This window comes from Homo sapiens, chromosome 9 (assembly GCF_000001405.40).
Source record: "Homo sapiens chromosome 9, GRCh38.p14 Primary Assembly".
NCBI lineage: Eukaryota > Metazoa > Chordata > Mammalia > Primates > Hominidae > Homo > Homo sapiens.
The window spans coordinates 40,480,694-40,499,563 of record NC_000009.12 but is presented as its reverse complement, the minus strand read 5'-3'; the positions used below and the strand labels follow the sequence as shown (position 1 = coordinate 40,499,563).

Here is an 18,870-nt window from a genome sequence, read left to right as displayed (position 1 = left end):
GGCCCCGAGCCCCATGCCCCGATCCAGCTGTGGCTCCTTTACGGGGGCCTTGCTGGCCTTTCCTAAGGGAGGTGTTTTCCCGAGGGCAGGTGGACTGCTCCTCAGACTAGGGGCCCTCGGAGGGCCAGGCCTGGGCTTCTACCTCCTCTCGCAGGCTGGTGTTTCTCTGCAAATATGGCTCGTGTGTCCTCCTTCCTCTCAGACTGGGGGCCCCTGAGGACTGGGCCTGAGTTTCCCTCTCCCCCTTCAGAATGGGGGTTCCCTGAGGACTGACCCAGGGCCTCCCCCCGTCCCCTCCATCTGGCTGTTAATCTCCAACACTTCCACCTCCAGTCCTATTCTGCACAGCGCTCCCCAGCGCTGGGAGCTCAGAGGCCTCTTCAGCCTTCCCCAGGGCTGGGGCTCAGGGAGGGCTTCCTCAGGCGCTGGCCCCAGAGTCAGGCTGCACATTGGCTTGGAGGACAGGCCTTTCCTCTGGGACTGTGAGGCCCAGAGTGCCCACCCAGAACTCCACCTCTGACCTCACAAAGGCCTGCTTCAGAACTCAGTCTCCACTGCACTGCTGGCCAGACGAGGGATGTTATTTTGGGCAGTGCATCTGGACTTGGTTCAAGTGGCACCAGCCAAATCCCTGCCTTACTGACCTCTCCCCTGGAGGAGCAGGAGCAGCGCTCAAGGCCGCCTTGGGAGGGCTGAGAGGCAGGCTCTGGACTGGGGACACAGGGATAGCTGAGCCCCAGCTGGGGGTGGAAGCTGAGCCAGAGACAGTCACAGAGGAACAAGATCAAGATGCGCTTTAACTGAGAAGCCCCCAAGGCAGAGGCTGAGAATCAGAAGACATTTCAGCAGAGTGAGTGGGGCTCCAGGCAGGGTGGGGATGGGGCAGCCTCCTCAGTGCCCAGATCTGGAAGGGTCATTCCCTGGGTACCATACAGCGAGGAGGTGACTGAGGGATTGTTTGGGGAAGGAGCCCCGGCTGGGAGTGGAAGTCCCGGCTTTCTTGTTATGGTGCAGTCCTGTGTTGCTGTGTGACACAGGCACATACACCTTCTCTCTGGGCCTCAGTTTCCTTACCTGTAAGTTGGTTGTTGGGAGGACCAGCGGTAGAGCAGAGATGGCAGGGATGCACTGGGCTGGGCTGTCAGCAGACCATGGGGGTGGGACGAGGAGAGAGCTGAAGACCACCGGCAGTGGACCACAGGGGGAGGCATGCAGGCCAGAGACGGGTCAGCTGCCGGCTTGCTGGAGTCATTCCTCCCACGCAGTCCCCTCCTGAGGGGCTGGAGCTGGGGCTGGAGGGTTTCAGCAGTCAGGGCTGGAGATAAGAGTCTGTGCTGGAGCTAGAGGGAACTGGGCTAGAGAATCAGGAGGACAGACAGGGTGAGGGGACTTCGGGCTACCTTCATGCTGTCTGTTAGAGATAAAGATAGGAGTACAAAGGGGAATTTTTGGGTGAGGTACACGGGTGAAATGAGTTTTCAGGGCCTCATCCTGTGTGTTCACCTTCTGCGTGTGTGTGTGTGTGTGTGTGTGTGCATGCGTGCATATATGTGTGTGTGCAGGTCCTGGACAGTCACAGCTTAAGTTAGCAGCAAGAGAACTTGAGGTTAAAGGTATAGCACGCAAATATGAGGCTGGAGCCACTGAGTAGAGGCTGAGGGCATCTCCACAGTCCAAAGCTGGGCTGCAGACAGGGAAGGTCAGCAGGAGCACTGGAGGGTCTGGCCTGGGGTTGGGGTCCTGGGGCCAGCATGGGTGGGGTGGGGCTCCAGGGCGTCGCCTCATTGGCTGAGCACCGCTCCTCCCTCCCTGTTCCTTGGCTGGGTTAAGGGAGTGGCACTAGCAGGAGCTGCCCCAGGGCTTCTCCCCTGGGGACAAAGGTCTGATGGAAGTGTGGGGCCAAGTTCTGTGTCCTCCAGCCCTAGTGACCTCTCTTTGGCTCTTCAGCATCTACAAATCTGAAGGACAAAACATGGTTCAAGCATCTGGGCACAGGCGGTAAGTACCCCACCCTCTTCTCACCCTCCAGCCCCCTGTCCTCCACCCAGCCCACTTCAGTGCCCTCCCTGCTCCATCCTCAGCCTCTCCCTTGGGGCAGCTGTCCCCCCTCGACCTCCTCCTCCCCACCCACCCACTCGCCTCTGAGGTCCCAGAAGAAAAGCATCTTCCACCTGTTGCCTGGGCTGGGTCCTGGGGTGAGGGGAGGCTCAGAAATACTTGGATGAGGGTCAAGGCATGCAGGTGGCCTTCAACTCAACTGCACTCAGCACCTCTCACCCTCTCAGGCTCAGCTGTCTTTGGGGTGAAAAAGAGCCAGTCCTTGCAATGGCCAAGGCCCTGCCTATGTAGTCCTTGTTAGCTTTCTGGCCTCCCCACTCCAGCCCCCTGCTCTCCCTCCTCCAGCCACACTGAGTTTCTTTTCTGGTTTTTTTTTTCTTTTTTTTTTTTTTTTTTTTTTTGAGATGGAATCCAGTTCTGTTGCCCAGGCTGGAGTGCAATGGCAAGATCTTGGTTCACTGCAACCTCCTTCTCCCGGGTTCAAGCGATTCTCTTGCCTCAGCCTCCTGAGTAGCTGGGATTACAGGATTACAGGCACACACTACCATGCCCAGCTAATTAGTTGTTTTTTTTTTGTTTTTTTTTTTTTTTTTTTTTTTGTATTTTTAGTAGAAATGGGGTTTCGCCATGTTCGCCAGGCTGTTCTTGAACTCCTGACCTCAGGTGATCCACCCGCCTCGGCCTCCCAAAAGGTTGGGATTACAGGTGTGAGCCACTGCACCTGGCCTCACACTGACTTTCTTTGCTTTCTTCAAACATGCTGAGAGTCCTCTGGTGACTATTCCCTCCATCTGAGAGGCTTTCTGCAGTTAACATACAGCCCACTCTCATCTCCTTCATGGCTTTGCTCCAAGGCCACCTTCTCAACAAGGATTACTCTGACTGCCCTATTTGAAATCACACCCCATCTCCAGCCCCTGCACTCCCAATTCCCCTCTCCTTGCTCTGTTTTTTCCCATAGGAGCTGGTACCTTCGCTTATACAAATGTACTTACTTATTACATTTCATTGCTGTCAGCTCCACGCAAGCAGGGATATTTGCCTGTTGTACACTTGCACGGAGAGAATGAATAGTGCCCCTCTGTTGACATCATTGCCTCTAGCCTACGTCTCTTTCCAGGGCTTTAGATCCTGTTTCTAGAGACCCACTGGTGTCTCACAGGCAACTCAGCTCCTAGATGGAAACAGCCTCCTCCGCCCCCCACAAGTCCACTCCTCCTGTGCTCTTGGCTCAGTCAGGGGTCCCCTTCTCTTCAGTTGCTCAAGCCAGAAGTCAAGGTCATGTCCTTGATACTTCCCTCTTCCCCATGCCTCACATCCAGTCACCAATCTCCTAAAATATCTAGAATGTGCACAGCTTCCACCATTCTTTCTACCACCACCCTACTCCCCCATGGCCATGTCAGGCCACCACCCGCCCATTCTTCAAAACTCCCTTCAGGCCTCACCTCCCATGCCTCCCCTGAGTTCCCCCAGTCCCAGGCTGCTTCTCTCTGGTGGTGTTGCCATTACCCATCTCTTCTATTAAACAGAGTGACCCAAGAGTGGAGAGTGGGTTTTGACTTTGTATCCCTGGTGCTTGACTCATAAGTAGGTGCTCAACAAAAATTTTTTCTTTTTTTGAGATGGAGTCTTGTTCTGTTGCCCATGCTGGAGTGCAGTGGCATGATCTCGGCTCACTGCAACTTCTGCTTCTTGGGCTCAAGCGATTCTCACATCTCAGCCCCCACCCCAGCTGGGATTACAGGTGCCTGCCACCACGCCCAGCTAATTTTTTTTTTATTTTTAGTGGAAATGGGGTTCTGCCATGTTGGCCAGGCTGGTCTTGAACTCCTGACCTCAAGTGATCCACCTGCCTCGGCCTCCTGAAGTGTTGGGATTACAGGCATGAGTCACCATGCCTGGCCAACAAATGTTTGTTGAATGAAGAAATGTTGGTTAGCAGGTTGAATTGTTGGCTCGTGGTTAGTTGGATAGTTTATGGTTGACTGGTTGATTAGATAATTCAATGAGTTAATAGCTGGTTAACAGGAGAATCAGTTAGTTGGTTTTTGATAGGTTAGTCAAAGGGTTAATAAGCCACCGGGCATGTTGGCTCATGCCTGAAATCCCTGCACCTTGGGAGGCTGAGGCTGGAGGATTGCTTGAGTCCAGGAGTTTGGGACCAGCTTTGGTAACATGGCAAAACCCCATCTCTACAAAAAATAGGAAAAAATAGCCGGTCATGGTGGCATGCTCCTGTAGTCCCAACTACTTGGGAGGCTGAGGTGGGAGGATCACTTGAACCCTGGGAAGTCTAGGCTTCAGTGAGCTGTGACTGTGCCACTGCACTTCAGCCTGGGTGACAGAGTGAGACCCTGTCTCAAAAAAAAAAAGAAAAAGAAAAAGAAAAGAAACAGGCGTTAGTGAGTTGTTAGCTATTTAGTTCCTTGGTTAACAGATTACTTAGGGGATCTGGTTGGCTGTCAGTTTCTTGCTTTGTAGGCTGGCTTTCTTGGGCCCCTCTTAGTCTGTACCCTCTCCTTGAGCTCTCTCATCTATGCCCATGGCTCAGATGACCATCTGTGATTTGCTGTCCTCCAAATGTGTCTGTAAGTGAGACCACATGACCAGCTGCCTCCTCACTGGCCATCCCACCCAAGTGTCTAGCGGGCTCCTCACACTCAACATGTCCAGAAAGGGCCTCCTTGTCCATTCTTCCACAGCTTCTCTGCTGTGCCCCACGCTAGTCATTCTGCTGCCCTAGCCAGGACCTGAGGGCATCGCTGAGCTGCCCCGCTCCCTTCCCTCTCTAACTGAACACCAAGCCTGTCAGCTTGACTGTGCTCTTGTGGCCATTGGCACTGCCATCCTTGTGGCTCAGGCTGCCACCACTTCTCCACCCATCTGTGGAGAAGCTGATGCTCACCCTGCCTCCACTCCACTTCCTCCATCCTGGCCTCCACAGGGGAGGCAGCTCTCCTGCTGAAACCCTCCACTTGGCCCATGGCCCTCTGGTAGAGTTCAGACTCCCTAATGTGGGCCATGAGGCCTTCTGCCACCTGGCCCTGGCCCCTCTCTGCCCATCTCATGCCACCTCCACTCCTCCGTGGCCAGCCCATTCCTGCACATTGGATACTGCCTTAGCTGCAGGCCTTTGCACATGCCAGTCCTACGCCCAGAGTGATCCCTGCCTCCCTGGAGGCTCCTTTACCCTCCAGCCTTCTTTTCTTGACCTGAATTTCCCTTTCTCTGGGAGCCTTCTACCCCCTCCTCTAGGCCATTCACTTCCTCCACATGCCCCACAGTGCCCACTCTTTCAGCTGGGGCAATGCTCATCACACTGCATAGTAGTTGCTCAATTGATTGCTTTTCTTCCCACAGGCTGGATTGTACCAGTGTCCTTTACTGCAGTGACTGAACATTCTAGGCACAGTAGATTCAAGAAATCTTGAGTTCATTGGCTGGTTGGTGGTTATCTGTTGCTTACTGTGTCTTGCCTGCTGTGTGGTGATGAGGAAGGAGCCAGGCTTCCAGGATTCTCTTGGTGTTCTTGTCTTTCCGCTCTGTCCACTTCTCTCTCCTCTTCTGTGGTTACCTCCAGCATGGGAGGTGGGGTTGGATGGGAGCCAGTGGAGGGTCACCTCGCCCTGCTAGGGAGAGCAGCAGCATTCCTCAGGGCTCCTAAATTCCCCTGACCTCACAGCAGCAAAAAGTAAGCAGAGGGAATGAGAGACGTCCAGGCATGGAATAAAACATCTTCCACTTTTCAGCTGAGACCCTCTGTTCATAGCTCACCCATCCCAGTCCTTGCTCTATTCCTTACTCCAGAGAAACAAAACCAGGGATGAGTAGATGGAGGGGGATGCAGAGTTGCGCGGATATTCCACTGGCCCCCATCCAACTCCAGCTCCCATGCAGCATCGTATAGGGGTCTCATTATCCCATGACCAGCCTCCTCAGCCCTGAAGAAGAGACCCTACCAATGCAAGCAGCAGCCCAAAGACAGTCCTGGGAAGGTACCATAGAGGCAGGGGAGAGTTAGACAGAGCAGGGAGCCAAGAACACCAAGGGAATCCTGGAAGCCTGGCTCCTTTCTCATCAGCACAGAGCAGGCAACAACCAGCCAAGGAACCAAAGATTTATTGAATCTACTATGCCTACTATGTTCAGGCACTGCAGTGAAGCAAACTGGTATGATCCCAGCCCTTAGGAAGAAAAACCGTTAATTAATTAAGCTTTTTTTTTTTTTCTTTTTTGAGACAGGGTGTCGCTCTGTCACCCACGCTGGAGTGCAGTGGTGTTATCTCAGCTCACTGCAACCTCTGCCTTCTGGGCTCAGGCAATCCTCTCACATCAGCCTCCCCATTAGCTGGGACCACAGGCGTACACCACAACACCTGACTAATTTTTGTATTTTTTTTTTTTTGTAGAGATGAGGTTTTGTCATACTGCCCAGGCTGGTCTTGAACTCCTGGGCTCAAGCGATCAGCTCGCCTCAGCAAGTGCTGGGATTACAGGCGTGAGACACTGTGCCTGGCCTAACTGAGCAATTACTATGCAGTGTGATGAGCATTGCCCCAGCTGAAAGAGTGGGCACCGTGGGGCATGTGGAAGAAGTGAATGGCCTAGAGGAGAGGGTAGGAGGCTCTCCCAGAGAAAGGGAAATTTAGGTCAAGAAAAGAAGGCTGGCGGGTAAAGGAGCCTCTGGGGAGGCAGGGGACCATTCTCGGTGTAGGACTGGCATGTGCAAAGGCCTGCAGCTAAGGCAGTACATGATATGCAAGGATGGGCTGGCCAGAGGAGTTGAGGGGCTGGTGTCAGCTTCCGGGCATGCAGACAGTGAGATAGCAGAGTGACTAAGGCCACACTTAGAGGTATCTGTATCCCTCTTCTTCCTCTTTTTTTTTTTTTTTTTTTTTTTGAGATGGAGTCTCGCACTTGTTGCCCAGGCTGGAGTGCAGTGGCAAGATCTCGGCTCACCACAACCTCCATCTCCCATGTTCAAGTGATTCTCCTGCCTCAGCCTCCGAAGTAGCTGGGATTACAGGCATGCGCCACCATGCCTGGCTAATTTTGTATTTTTTAGTAGAGATAGGGTTTCTCTATGTTGGTCAGGCTGGTCTCGAACTCCCGACCTCAGGTGATCTGCCCACCTTGGCCTCCCAAAGTGCTGGGATTATAGGCGTGAGCTACCGGGCCCAGCCCCTCTTCTTCCTCTTTATCCTCCAGTCCCACCCCGCCACCTTCCCCAAACTCCAGTCCTATACCTCTCCCTATACGCAGATTTGGAACCTGTTACTCACCTGTTTCATCTACCTTTCCATCTAACCGTGCAATTAACTAAATATAAATCAAGTGCCAGGCCCTTTGGCAAGCTCTGAGGATCTAGTTGGGAGTAAGACAGATTCCCCAGTTTTCACCCATTCAACAAATACTTATTGCACATCTACTATGTGCCTGGCATGGTGCTGGGCACTGAAGATACACCAGGAAGTAGATCCAGTCCTTCCTTTTCTCCCTCCCGCTCTCTTGGTCATTCATTCATTCATTCACTCACTCTCTCACAAACCTCTGTTTGCAATGACCTGGTTGCACAGCCTGGTGCATTTTGCTGACCCCTTCATTTTTGACAGAACCTGGCGCATGTTTCAGTGCTCAGTGCTGTTTACAGAGCTCGGCAGCAGACTTTGTCACACTTCATGCTGTTTGTAGAGTGCCTCACTGTTGCCAGGCCCTGGCCTGTGACCCCAAAGTTCTGGCTCTAGCAGATAGGCAGACAGACAGATGGACAGACATAGACTACTGAGCTCTACTTTCCAGCCTGCTCTCTCCCACCCTACTTTTTCCCAGAGGCTTGTTGGCACCGTGGATTGCACTTTCAGCTCCCCACCTGCCCGTCTGCAAAGTGGCCTCATTGGTGTGCCATTTTTACTGGTCCAGTCCCAACTACAAGGGGCATGGCTTGGCCATCTACCCCAGTTCCTCTCCATGTCCCCATGGCTCGCAAGTGTCTCCAATTCCAGCTGTCCCAGCTGCCCCGGGCAAGAGGAGGTGTGTGTGGCAAGTCTGCTGGGTTACCTATTAACTCAGCTGTGAGTTGAAGAGCCGATGGGCAGCAGGCAGACTTGAGTCTCCTTTCTGTCCATGAGCTCGGGCCACTGTATCAGGTCCACCCGTGGCTCCAAAATGGTCTCCTGGTCCGTGATAGCAAAGATCCAGGAAATATGATGCGAGGAAGATGAGAGGAAGATGGCGCGAGAGTTCGTGGCCAAGTTCATGAGCACATATGTCATGATGGTGAGTGGGCGGGCAGCACGAAGTGGGTGGGCTCTGCCAGGGCCTTCCATGACCCCCTCCCCATTCTGACCCCATGGGTCACATTGTCCATTCCTTGCCTCTGAGCTGGGAGCCTGGGGAAGCAGCGAGGAAAGTAAGGCGGGGGGGCTTTCTCATCAAGTCTTTTTGGACAGAAAGGGCTCATAATATGTGGGGGTCAAATGAAACCATGCACTGGGGTATCCGGGGCAAGGCTGGAAATGGGGAGAAGGGAAACCCAGAGTAAAGAGATTGAAGAGGCCCAGGTGCAGTGGCTCATGCCTGTAATTCCAGCACTTTGGGAGGCTTAGGCAAGTGGATCACCTGAGGTCAGGAGTTCGAAACCAGCCTGGCCAACATGGTGAAACCCCGTCTCTACTAAAAATACAAAAATTAGCTGGGCATGGTGGCGGACACCTGTAATCTCAGTTATTCAGGAGGCTGAGGCAGGAGAATCGCTTGAGCCCAGGAGGTGGAGGTTGCAGTGAGCTGAGATCACACCATTGCACTCAGCCTGGGTGACAGGAGCAAAACTCTGTCTCAAAAAAAAAAAAAAAAAAAAAGAAAAAAGAGAGAGAGATTGAAGAGAAACTTGATGATCAGGCTCTGATAATGAATCCAGAGGGCAATGGGCGATGTTGAAGGCTGGCAAGCAGGGGAGTGACATGATCAGATTTGGATTTTAAAGGTAATTTTGGGTGCAGTGTGGAGCATAAGCAGGACAGGCAAGGCTGGCAAGAAGGAACCAGTTAAGAGGCTGTTTTTGATCTGGGACAGAGAGAGGGTGATGACTGATCTGGGGTTGGAGAAGAAAGCACATGTTTGAGAGGGCTGTGGAAGATGGAATCGGGGAGACTCTGCCAGCAGAACATGTGGGCAAAGCGCCGATGAGCTGTTCTGGAGCACGGGGCCCAGCACAGGGTGAGAGGCAAGATGCCTGTAGGGAAATCCAGGAGATAGTTAAACACAGGCGAGGGGCTGGAGCTCAGGAGAGGCTTGGTCTGGAAGGAAAAAGTTGAAGTTCATCACAACACAGGTGGTGGTTGTCAACACTGTCTAGAAGGAGTGTACAGAAAGAGAAAAGGATGGTTTGAGGACAGAGCCCTGAGGAATGAAGAGGGGCACGCAAAGGAGCCTGAGAAGGAATGGTCAGAGAGGTGGGAGGAGAACCAGAGCCGACTGCATGACAGAGGGGGGCAGTGGTTCCACCAGGAAGAAGCCGTCAGCGGCATGGGCAGCGGCAGATGGGCCACGCAAGGTGAGCACTGGCAAGGGGCCTTAGGGTTTGCCAATGTGGAGGTTGCTGGTAACCTTGACAAGGGCTCTTCTTTAGTGTGTGATTGGGACAGAATCCAGACTGCAGGTGGGATGTGAGGTTGCTCCCTCTCCACCTGCTTCAGCCCTGCCACTTACCCCAGTGAGCCTCTGCCCTTAACATGACTGTAGCCATGTTTATTGCATCTTATGCAGGGTCCAGGGTCTAGAGAAAGAAGGGGCAGCCTCTGGGAAGGGAGGCAAAGGCAGCCAGGTGCATGCTAGAGGAAGGTGGGGTGAGAGAGGCTGTTCGTGTGTGTGGTGGAGCCCATGGAGCTCAAGGGAGAGAGGGAATTGGAACACCAGGTTTCTTAGCCTGACCCTGCCACTGAGTGACCAGTTGCCTTGGGCAGGTCTCTCCCTGGCTTAAAGCCTGACTTCTCACTTATATCGTGTAGAATTAGGCCTTCGTGGGCTTTGGAGCTGTGTTTGAATCCTAGCTCTGTTATCTTCTAGCTGTGCGACTATCCACAAGTATCTTAACTGTTCACAAATTTAGCTTTCTTGTTTTTGAGACAGGGTCTCACTCTGTCTCCTAGGATGGAGTGCAGTGGTACGATCTCAGCTCACTGCAGCCCCCACCTCCCATACTCAAGTGACTCTCTTTCCTCAGCCTCTTGAGTAGCTGGGACTACAGGCATGTGCCACTGTGCTCAGCTAATTTTTCTATTTTTAGTAGAGATGGGGTTTCACCATGTTGGCCAGACTGGTCTCGAACTCCCGAATTCAGGTGACCTTCCTGCCTCGGCCTCCCAAAGTGCTGGGATTGCTGGCGTGAGTCACCTCTCCCGGCCCACAACTTTAGCTTCCTTATTGGTTAACAGGAGGACTTGTGTGAAGAAGGCCAAGTCTCAGCACCCAGTGTGGTACCCATGTATTGGTCCCTTGTTATTAGGACGGGTGCTCTAGCTGCTGTCTCCTCTCTGTCTCTGGCCCTCCCCTACTCCTCTCTTACCTCCCCACCTGCTTTGGCTCCTGAGCTGTGAGGACAGCAGTTGGATCCTGTCCCTCCTTAATCCAGGGCAAAGTAATTCACTTACCACAAGACATTCCAGCCCCATGAGGGCTGTTAACCCTTGGAGCCTCGGAGGCAGGAGGGTGCATCCTCTGAGAGCTGTTAGGGAAATAGGCACCGCCCACATGCTTGATACCTGCCCACATCTGTGTTCCTCTTCCTTTTGTTGAGATTTTCATTGAGCACCTAATGCATCCTGGGCTCTGTGATGCTAAGCCCCTTACGTGCAGCATCTTCCCAAATCCTCGCAATAGCCCTGTGAAGTAGGTACTATTATTATCCCAGTTTCACAGATGGGAAAACTGAGGCTCCTTGAGACTAAGCCTTTTGCCCAAGGTCACACTTTAAGTCAAGATTAAATCCAGTGCAGTCTAATATCACAGTCTTTTTTGTTTTTGTTTTTGTTTTTTTGAGATACAGTCTTGCTTTGTCACAGTGGTGCAATCTCGGCTCACTGCAACCTCTACCTCCTGGGTTCAAGCGATTCTTGCATCTCAGCCTCTGGAGTAGCTGGAATTACAGGTGCATGCCACCATGCCCAGCCAATTTTTGTATTTTTAGGAAAGACAAGGTTTCACCATGTTGTCAAGGCTGGTCTTGAACTCCTGACTTCAAGTGATCCTCCCACCTCGGCCTCCCAAAGTGCTGGGATTACAGGCATGAGTCACCGTGCCCAGCTCAATATCACAGTCTTGACCCTTAACCTCTATGCTCTGTACCTTAGCTTAAATATTGCCAGCTTTTAAAGACTGGCTTGTTAATGCTCCCCCAGCCAGGGTAAAGTCCTCACTTTCAGGTAGTTCAAGATGCCTCTCTCGGCCTCAGTTTCCCCATTTATAGAGTGGGAGAAAAATTCTTGCTGTGCAGATTTGTTGTGAGGATTGAAGACAGTAGCACTTGTAAAAGAACTTTGTGAGGCGTAAGCCTATATCGGATATTGTGGTGTTGTTATTTTTAGTTGCCAGGCTGTGCCAAGAAGTGAGGGTTTTTTTTTTTTTTTTGTAAATATATATATAGGAATCTCAGTGAGTCACCAGGGTGAAGTTTTGCCAAAAAAGCTAGTGTGACCTTGGCCCCATTTATTGCAGCCAGGACAAGGGAAGTGGACTGATCCGTGTTGCAGCTTCCAGGTGTGTTGCCCTTGGAGCTGGCCTCCTGGCTGTGGGGGAGAGTTGGATGGGCTGGGCCACATTCACTGATCAGGGAGAGGAGGGGCTGGAGCCATCCGGGCCCTGGAAAACCAGCCATACACATGAGACACGGGGCAAGGGTTGTAGATCACATGCTACGGGGGCCAAGAGAGCGGCAACTCAGGGCGGTGGGGACTTTGGCTGGCTGCAGAGTGCCAATCTGTGCAAGGCTGTAGAGCTGCTGCCACTCCAGCTGACTGTTGCCATGGAGGGTGGAATGCAGGCCAGTGTTGCTTGAGCTGCTCATTTTTCAAGAGAGATGGAAACTTCTGTTCTTCAAAACCAAGTTATCTAAACAAAATCTGTGCGCTGGATGAATTAGGTGCATGAGTTGCCAGTTGGCAACCCTGACACAAGGAATCATGTGGGGTTCATTCACTCACCCAGTATTTTATTTTATTTATTTTATTTTTTTGAGACAGAGTCTCACCCTGTTGCCCAGGCTGGAGTGCAGTGGTGTGATCTCAGCTCACTGCTCTGCCTCCCGGGTTCAAGTGATTCTCCTGCCTCAGCCTGCCGAGTAGCTGGGATTACAGGCATGTGTCACCACACCTGGCTAATTTTTTGTATCTTTAGTAGAGACGGGGTTTCACCATGTTGGCTAAGCAGGTCTCAAACTCCTGACCTCATGATCGGCCTGCCTCGGTCTCCCAAAGTGCTGGGATTACAGGCGTGAGCCACCACACCTGGCCTATGCTCATCCAGTATTTTTAGCACATGGTATTGGAATGCGGGAAAGGCCATGGGGGCCCCTCTGTTTTCAGACCCTCCATGCCTCCTCCAGTCCCTCTACCTCTTGACCCTGCCAGCCTGTCAACCTGTCCTGACCTCACTCCCCCCTGCACCCCCATCTGTTCCTGTCCTCTCCTGTTGTATCTTATCCTGGATCTGAAGCCAGCCTAGCTCTGGGCTCCCCTGCTCCTGTCCTGGGGCTTCTGAGGGACCCAGTGGGCCCTGCTCAGCTGCCTCTCCCCCACCATATCTGGGCTATTTCACATTTTCTCAGACTTCCCCAAAGCTGCTCTGTACTCTTTTTTTTTTTTAAATCAGCAAATGGCTTGATCTGCTGCTTGATAGGTAAAATAATCAACACTTCCTATGTTCAGCTCACCCTCTTGTCCCTCTTACCACCAGACCCATTAACCACCCGTCTATCCACATATCACCCCTTGGCTGGGGTGGGGTCCTCTCCTTCCTGGAGGACACCTCCACTTCTGCACCAATCCAGCTGTCCAGCCTATTCAGGTACTTTACTCTGTCCTTTTTCTCTGTCCTTTATCTTCAGCCCATCCCTCTCTCAGCCTATAAACATACTGAAGTTTCTCCACTGAAAACAACACAAAATGAAACATCCCTCCCTTCACCCTGTCAGCCCCTTCACGGGATCATGTTCTCTCTTCCCCGCTCCTCAGGCGAATTCTCGAAGAGGAGTCTACACTGGTGCCTTTCAACTCTTTTTTTTTTCTTTTTTTGAGATGGAGTCTTGCTCTGTCGCCCAGTCTGGAGTGCAGTGGTGTGATCTCAGATCACTGCAAGCTCCACCTCCTGGGTTCAAGCAATTCTCCTGTCTCAGCCTCCTGAGTAGCCGGGATTACAGGCAAGCACCACCACGCCTGGCTAATTTTTGTATTATTAGTAGAGACGGGGTTTTGTCATGCTGGTCTTGAACTCCTGACCTAAAGTGATCCATCCACCTCGGCCTTCCAAAGTGCTGGGATTACAGGCATGAGCCACCGCACCCAGCCTGGTCTGCCTTCTTACCTTGTACCCTCTCCTGGGGCCTTCTCCTCTGTCGGCTTTGACTTTGGCCCTTATGTCTACAATTCTTCAGGTTTTCTCCTTTATCAACTCTAGAACAGAGTTCTCCAGGGGAAATACAATACAAGCCATCTGTATAATTTAATTTTTTCTAGTATCCACATTAAAAAGGTAAAAAGCAACAGGTGAAATTAATTTTAATAATTAACCCATATAGCCAAAATCCTATTTCAAGATGCAATCAATGTAAAATTATTAGGATATTCTGGCCAGGCATGGTGGCTCACACCTGTAATCCCAGCACTCTGGGAGGCTGAGGTGAGAGGATTGCTTAAGGCCAGGAGCTCGAGACCAGCCCGGTCAACATAGTGAAACCTCATCTCTACACAAAATAAATTGAAAAACTTAGCTGGGATAGGGCTCAATGGCTCATGCCTGTAATCCCAGCACTTTGGGAGGCCAAGGCAGGCTGATCATCTGAGGTCAGGTGTTTGAGACCAGTCTGGCCAACATCGTGAAACCCTGTCTCTACTAAAAATACAAAAAAATAGTTGGGCATGGTGGCATGCACCTATAATCTCAACTACTCGGGAGGCTAAGGCAGGAGAATCACTTGAACCCGGGAGTTGGAGGTTGCAGTGAGCCGAGATTGCGCCATTGCACTCCGGCTTGGGCGACAGAGCAAGACTGTCTCAAAAAAAAAAAAAAAAAAATTGGCTGCGTGTCGAGGCACATGCCCATAGTCCCAACTACTTGAGAGGCTGAGGTGGGAGTATCACTTGAGCCCAGGAGATGGAGGCTGCAATGAGCCCTGATCATGGCACTGCACTCCAGCCTGGGTGATAGAGCAAAACCCTATCTCAAGCATCAAACAAACAAACAAATAAAACAGAGGCACAAGAAAGCAAGGCATGCATGGAGCAGCGCAGTTGTTTGGTTTGAGGCCATCTGGCACAGGTAACTGCCTGGATTTAATCCTGGCTCACCATGTACAGGCTGTGTGACCTTGGACAAGCCATTCAAGTTCTCTAAGCTTCAGATTACCCATCTGTCAAGTGGGGGAGAATAATAGTGCTTAACTATCATTTGCAACATCTGAGTTTCTGGCTCGGCCAACGGGGATGGGGAACATAGAGTGAGGAGCAGGTGTGCTGTGAGATGGCGAACCTTCAACAGAGCCTGAGACGTCCGTGGAACACCAGGAGAGTTGCAGTGGGGATTTGCAAATAGGCATCTGGCTCCCCCACGGAGATGACGGGAATTTCAGCGCATCAGGCATAGCTGAGACTGTCTACGTGGTAAAACCATGCCTGAAAAGACCTTTGGAAAATCAGGAGGTTGCTGGAGCCCTTGGAGAGAGCTTTGGTGTCTGTGACATGTGGAAATGGAAGCCAGATTGAGGAGGGGGTGCGAGGGAAGGGGTGAAGCAGCTGGCCAGTGTGTTCTCTCCTGCAGCCTGACTGAAACAGGGAGGGGGCAACCAGGAACCCACAGCTGGAGAAGGACACTGGGCAGGGGTGGGACAGTTTGCTGGGAAGGATGAGACTCCAGTGTGTGGGAACCGATCAATGGGAGGATGGAAGGTATGGGGGAGACGGAGGCCTCTGCAGAGGGAGAGGATAGCACAGGAGCCAGGGCTGAAGGGAACAGTGGCTCTAGACTGAGGGTAATGGGCCTGAAGGTAGGCCCCTTCCCCTGTGAAGGCAGCATTATCTGAGGAGCCGTGAGGGATGGGCAAGAAGCAGCAGCTTGGGAATGCCGCCTGAGGTCAGTGGAAATGAAGCTGAGGGCAAGACAGTTAGGGCCCCACTGTTCCAGCATTGTGGGAATTGCGGTGGAGTGTGTGTGTGTAGGGAGGGGTTCCTGGCAGAGTCAGGCATGGATGGATTTGGAGGTCCCTTGAAGAAACTTCCTTCAGGTCAGCCTGAAGTGTGAGGGACTCTGAGGGGGTGCAATGCATGCCAGCCATCCCCTCCTCGCAGCCCTGCCTCACCCCAAAACTTCAGGTGGGCCTGGGGCTGAGGTGCTTGGATGTTTGTAGTAAGAGCTTCTAACTCTGCTGCTCCACCCGGCTCTCAGTGGCTCAGGTCTGAGAGGCCTCAGCAGGGGCAAGGAGAGGAGGCAGTGAGGAGGGAAGGCTCTGGAGGAAGAGGGCATGGCAGAGGGTCTTCGAGGCAACGCCAGGGAGGCCCAGGGCATGGGGGTGAGGAGCTAGAACTGAGCTCTGAGCCCTCCTCTGAGGTTGGGGCTTCTGGGCAGGCAGCCCCCTTAGAGGCCCTCCCTTGTAGGTATTCGGCCTTGGTTCCGTGGCCCATATGCTTCTAAATAAAACATTTGGGAGCTACCTTGGTGTCAACTTGGGTTTTGGCTTCGGAGTCACCATGGGAGTGCACATGGCAGGCCGCACCTCTGGTGAGTGAGCCCAGGCCCTGCCGGACCGGGCAAGACCAGGTGTCCCCAACAGGCTCTTTCCTGCCCGCCTCAGCCAGCTCCTTTGCCAGCACAGCCAGTGCCTCAGCCTGGCCACCGGGCGGGAGGAAGTCTCCTCTGAACCCCGTGCCTATGACGTGTCTGCCCCAGATTCTTCCTGGCCCCCCCGACCTACCATTTTCACTGGCTGGGTCATCTTAGGCAAGCCATCGCCTCTGTGTTCCTCAGTTTCCTTAAGAGTGAAAGGAAGACGGTGGCCCCTGCCTCACGGGGTGGTTGTGAGGGCTCAAGGAGAGAACTCTGTCACGGAGCATGCTGTCATACACACTAGCCATCGTTGTTCTCATACTGTTTGTCACTGTTGTTTGTTCTGCTCTCACTCCCTGACACACTTGCCTGCTGCCCGCAGGAGCCCACATGAACGCAGCTGTGAGCCTCACTAACTGTGCACTGGGCCGTGTGCCCTGGAGGAAGTTTCCAGTATATGTGCTGGGGCAGTTCCTGGGCTCCTTCCTGGCAGCTGCCACCATCTACAGTCTCTTCTACAGTGAGCGTCCTGCCCGGGTGTCCGCCTCTGGCCTCAGCTGCCTCCTATGAAATATGGGCAGATTGGACCTCAGTGTCCTGATTTGTAAAAAATAGCTGGGAGAAAAAAGCCTTGGAGGTCTCCCACCCTCTAACCTATAACCTAATTTCCGGGACCCTGGTGGGGCTTAGTTGGGGACAGGTTCGCATGATAGTCTGTGTCTCCACAGCGGCCATTCTCCACTTTTCGGGTGGAGAGCTGATGGTGACCGGTCCCGTTGCTACAGCTGGCATTTTTGCCACCTACCTTCCTGATCACATGACATTGTGGCGGGGCTTCCTGAATGAGGTCAGTGGTCCAGGATGAGTACCCCTCCCCCTGCCCTCCACCCCTCAGGACGGAGCCAGCAGGGAGTCCCTCCGGATAGACAGGACAAGAACTCTGGATGGAGACTGTACCAAGATGTGTCTCTGCTGGTGGGCTTGGGTCTGGGGCACTGCCGAGGTCCTGTGGCTTGGGGAGGGGCCCAGGTGAGCTTCCACAGCATCTGCTCCTCAGGAGTGGCTGACCGGGATGCTCCAGCTGTGTCTCTTCGCCATCACGGACCAGGAGAACAACCCAGCACTGCCAGGAACACACGCACTGGTGATAGGCATCCTCGTGGTCATCATCAGGGTGTACCATGGCATGAACACAGGATATGCCATCAATCCGTCCCGGGACCTGCCCCCCCGCATCTTCACCTTCATTGCTGGTTGGGGCAAACTGGTCTTCAGGTACTGCCCCTGCCCAGGCCCATTCCTTTGAGATTTTCTGTGGGGCCCCTGTGTGTTGAGGTGTGGGGGGTGATGTGAGGGGCAGCACAGGAGGGTCCTGCAGAGCCCCCAGGTGGCCTGGGGAGCAGGAGTGAGTCCCAACATTTCCCCAGGCCAGTACAGATACAGATCCTGCACCTGCACTGAGTGTCAACCCTGTCCCTGAATCGGGCTGAGGCTGACCAGGGCCCCGGGTTGGGGGTGTTTCCTGGGTTAGCCTGAGGATGACTCCTCTGCTCAACCAGTCTTGGCCCGAGGTGGATGAGGGTGCTGTCCTGGGCATCAGCCCCCTCAGCCGGCCTCTGCCTCTTGCCTGCAGCGATGGGGAGAACTTGTGGTGGGTGCCAGTGGTGGCACCACTTCTGGGTGCCTCTCTAGGTGGCATCATCTACCTGGTCTTCATTGGCTCCACCATCCCACGGGAGCCCCTGAAATTGGAGGACTCTGTGGCATATGAAGACCACGGGATAACCGTATTGCCCAAGATGGGATCTCATGAACCCATGATCTCTCCCCTTACCCTCATCTCCGTGAGCCCTGCCAACAGATCTTCAGTCCACCCTGCCCCACCCTTACATGAATCCATGGCCCTAGAGCACTTCTAAGCAGAGATTATTTGTGATCCCATCCCTTCCCCAATAAAGAGAAGCTTGTCCCACAGCAGTACCCCCACTTCCTGGGGGCCTCCTGTGGTTGGGCTTCCCTCCTGGGTTCTTCCAGGAGCTCTAGGGCTATGTCTTAGCCCAAGGTGTAGAGGTGAGGCACCTCAAGTCTTTCATGCCCTGGGAACTGGGGTGCCCCAGGGGGAGAATGGGGAAGAGCTGACCTGCGCCCTCAGTAGGAACAAGGTAAGATGAAAGAATGACAGAAACAGAATGAGGGATTTTCAGGCAAGGGGGAAGGAAGGGCAGTTTTGGTGAAAGGACTGTAGCTGACTGGTGGGGGGCTGGCTTTGGAAATACTTTGAGGGGATCCTGAGACTGGACTCTAGACTCTCCCCTGGTTGTTCCCTTCCCCGAGTTCTGGCCGGTTCTTGGACCAGACAAGGCATGGCCCAAGAAGGTAGATCAGAATTTTTTAGCCTTTTTTTCATTAGTGCCTTCCCTAGTATTCTTCCAGATTTTTTTTCTTAATCACATGAAATTTTAATACCACAGATATACTATACATCTGTTTATGTTCTGTATATGTTCTGTGCTTTATACGTAAAAAAGAGTAAGATTTTTTTTCACCTCCCCTTTTAAGAATCAGTTTTAATTCCCTTGAGAATGCTTGTTATAGATTGAAGGCTGGTAAGGGGTTGGGCTCCTCTTTCTTCTTCCTGGTGCCAGAGTGCTCCCACATGAAGGAATAGGAAAGGAAGATGCAAAGAGGGAAATCCTTCGAACACATGAAGACACAGGAAGAGGCCTCTTAGGGCTCCAAGGGCTCCAGGGAAGCAGCTGCAGAGGTTGGGTGGGGTGAGGG

The 18,870-nt window shown here is 52.8% G+C and overlaps 1 long non-coding RNA gene and 1 pseudogene across 3 annotated transcripts in view; both read left to right on the top strand.

Moving 5' to 3' along the window:
- Positions 515–18,870, top strand: part of LOC124902160 (uncharacterized) — a 35,296-nt gene continuing 16,940 nt past the window's right edge. The window contains exons 1-3 of one of the 3 annotated variants that reach the window (XR_007061498.1): positions 515–850; positions 1,948–1,998; positions 5,422–5,504. This is a non-coding gene — a long non-coding RNA (uncharacterized LOC124902160). Of the gene's footprint in view, positions 851–1,947; positions 1,999–2,708; positions 2,751–5,421; positions 5,505–18,870 lie in introns of those variants that run through there. The other 2 variants (XR_007061499.1, XR_007061500.1) reach the window with 2 other exon arrangements.
- AQP7P5 (aquaporin 7 pseudogene 5) lies at positions 540–18,063 on the top strand (annotated as a pseudogene).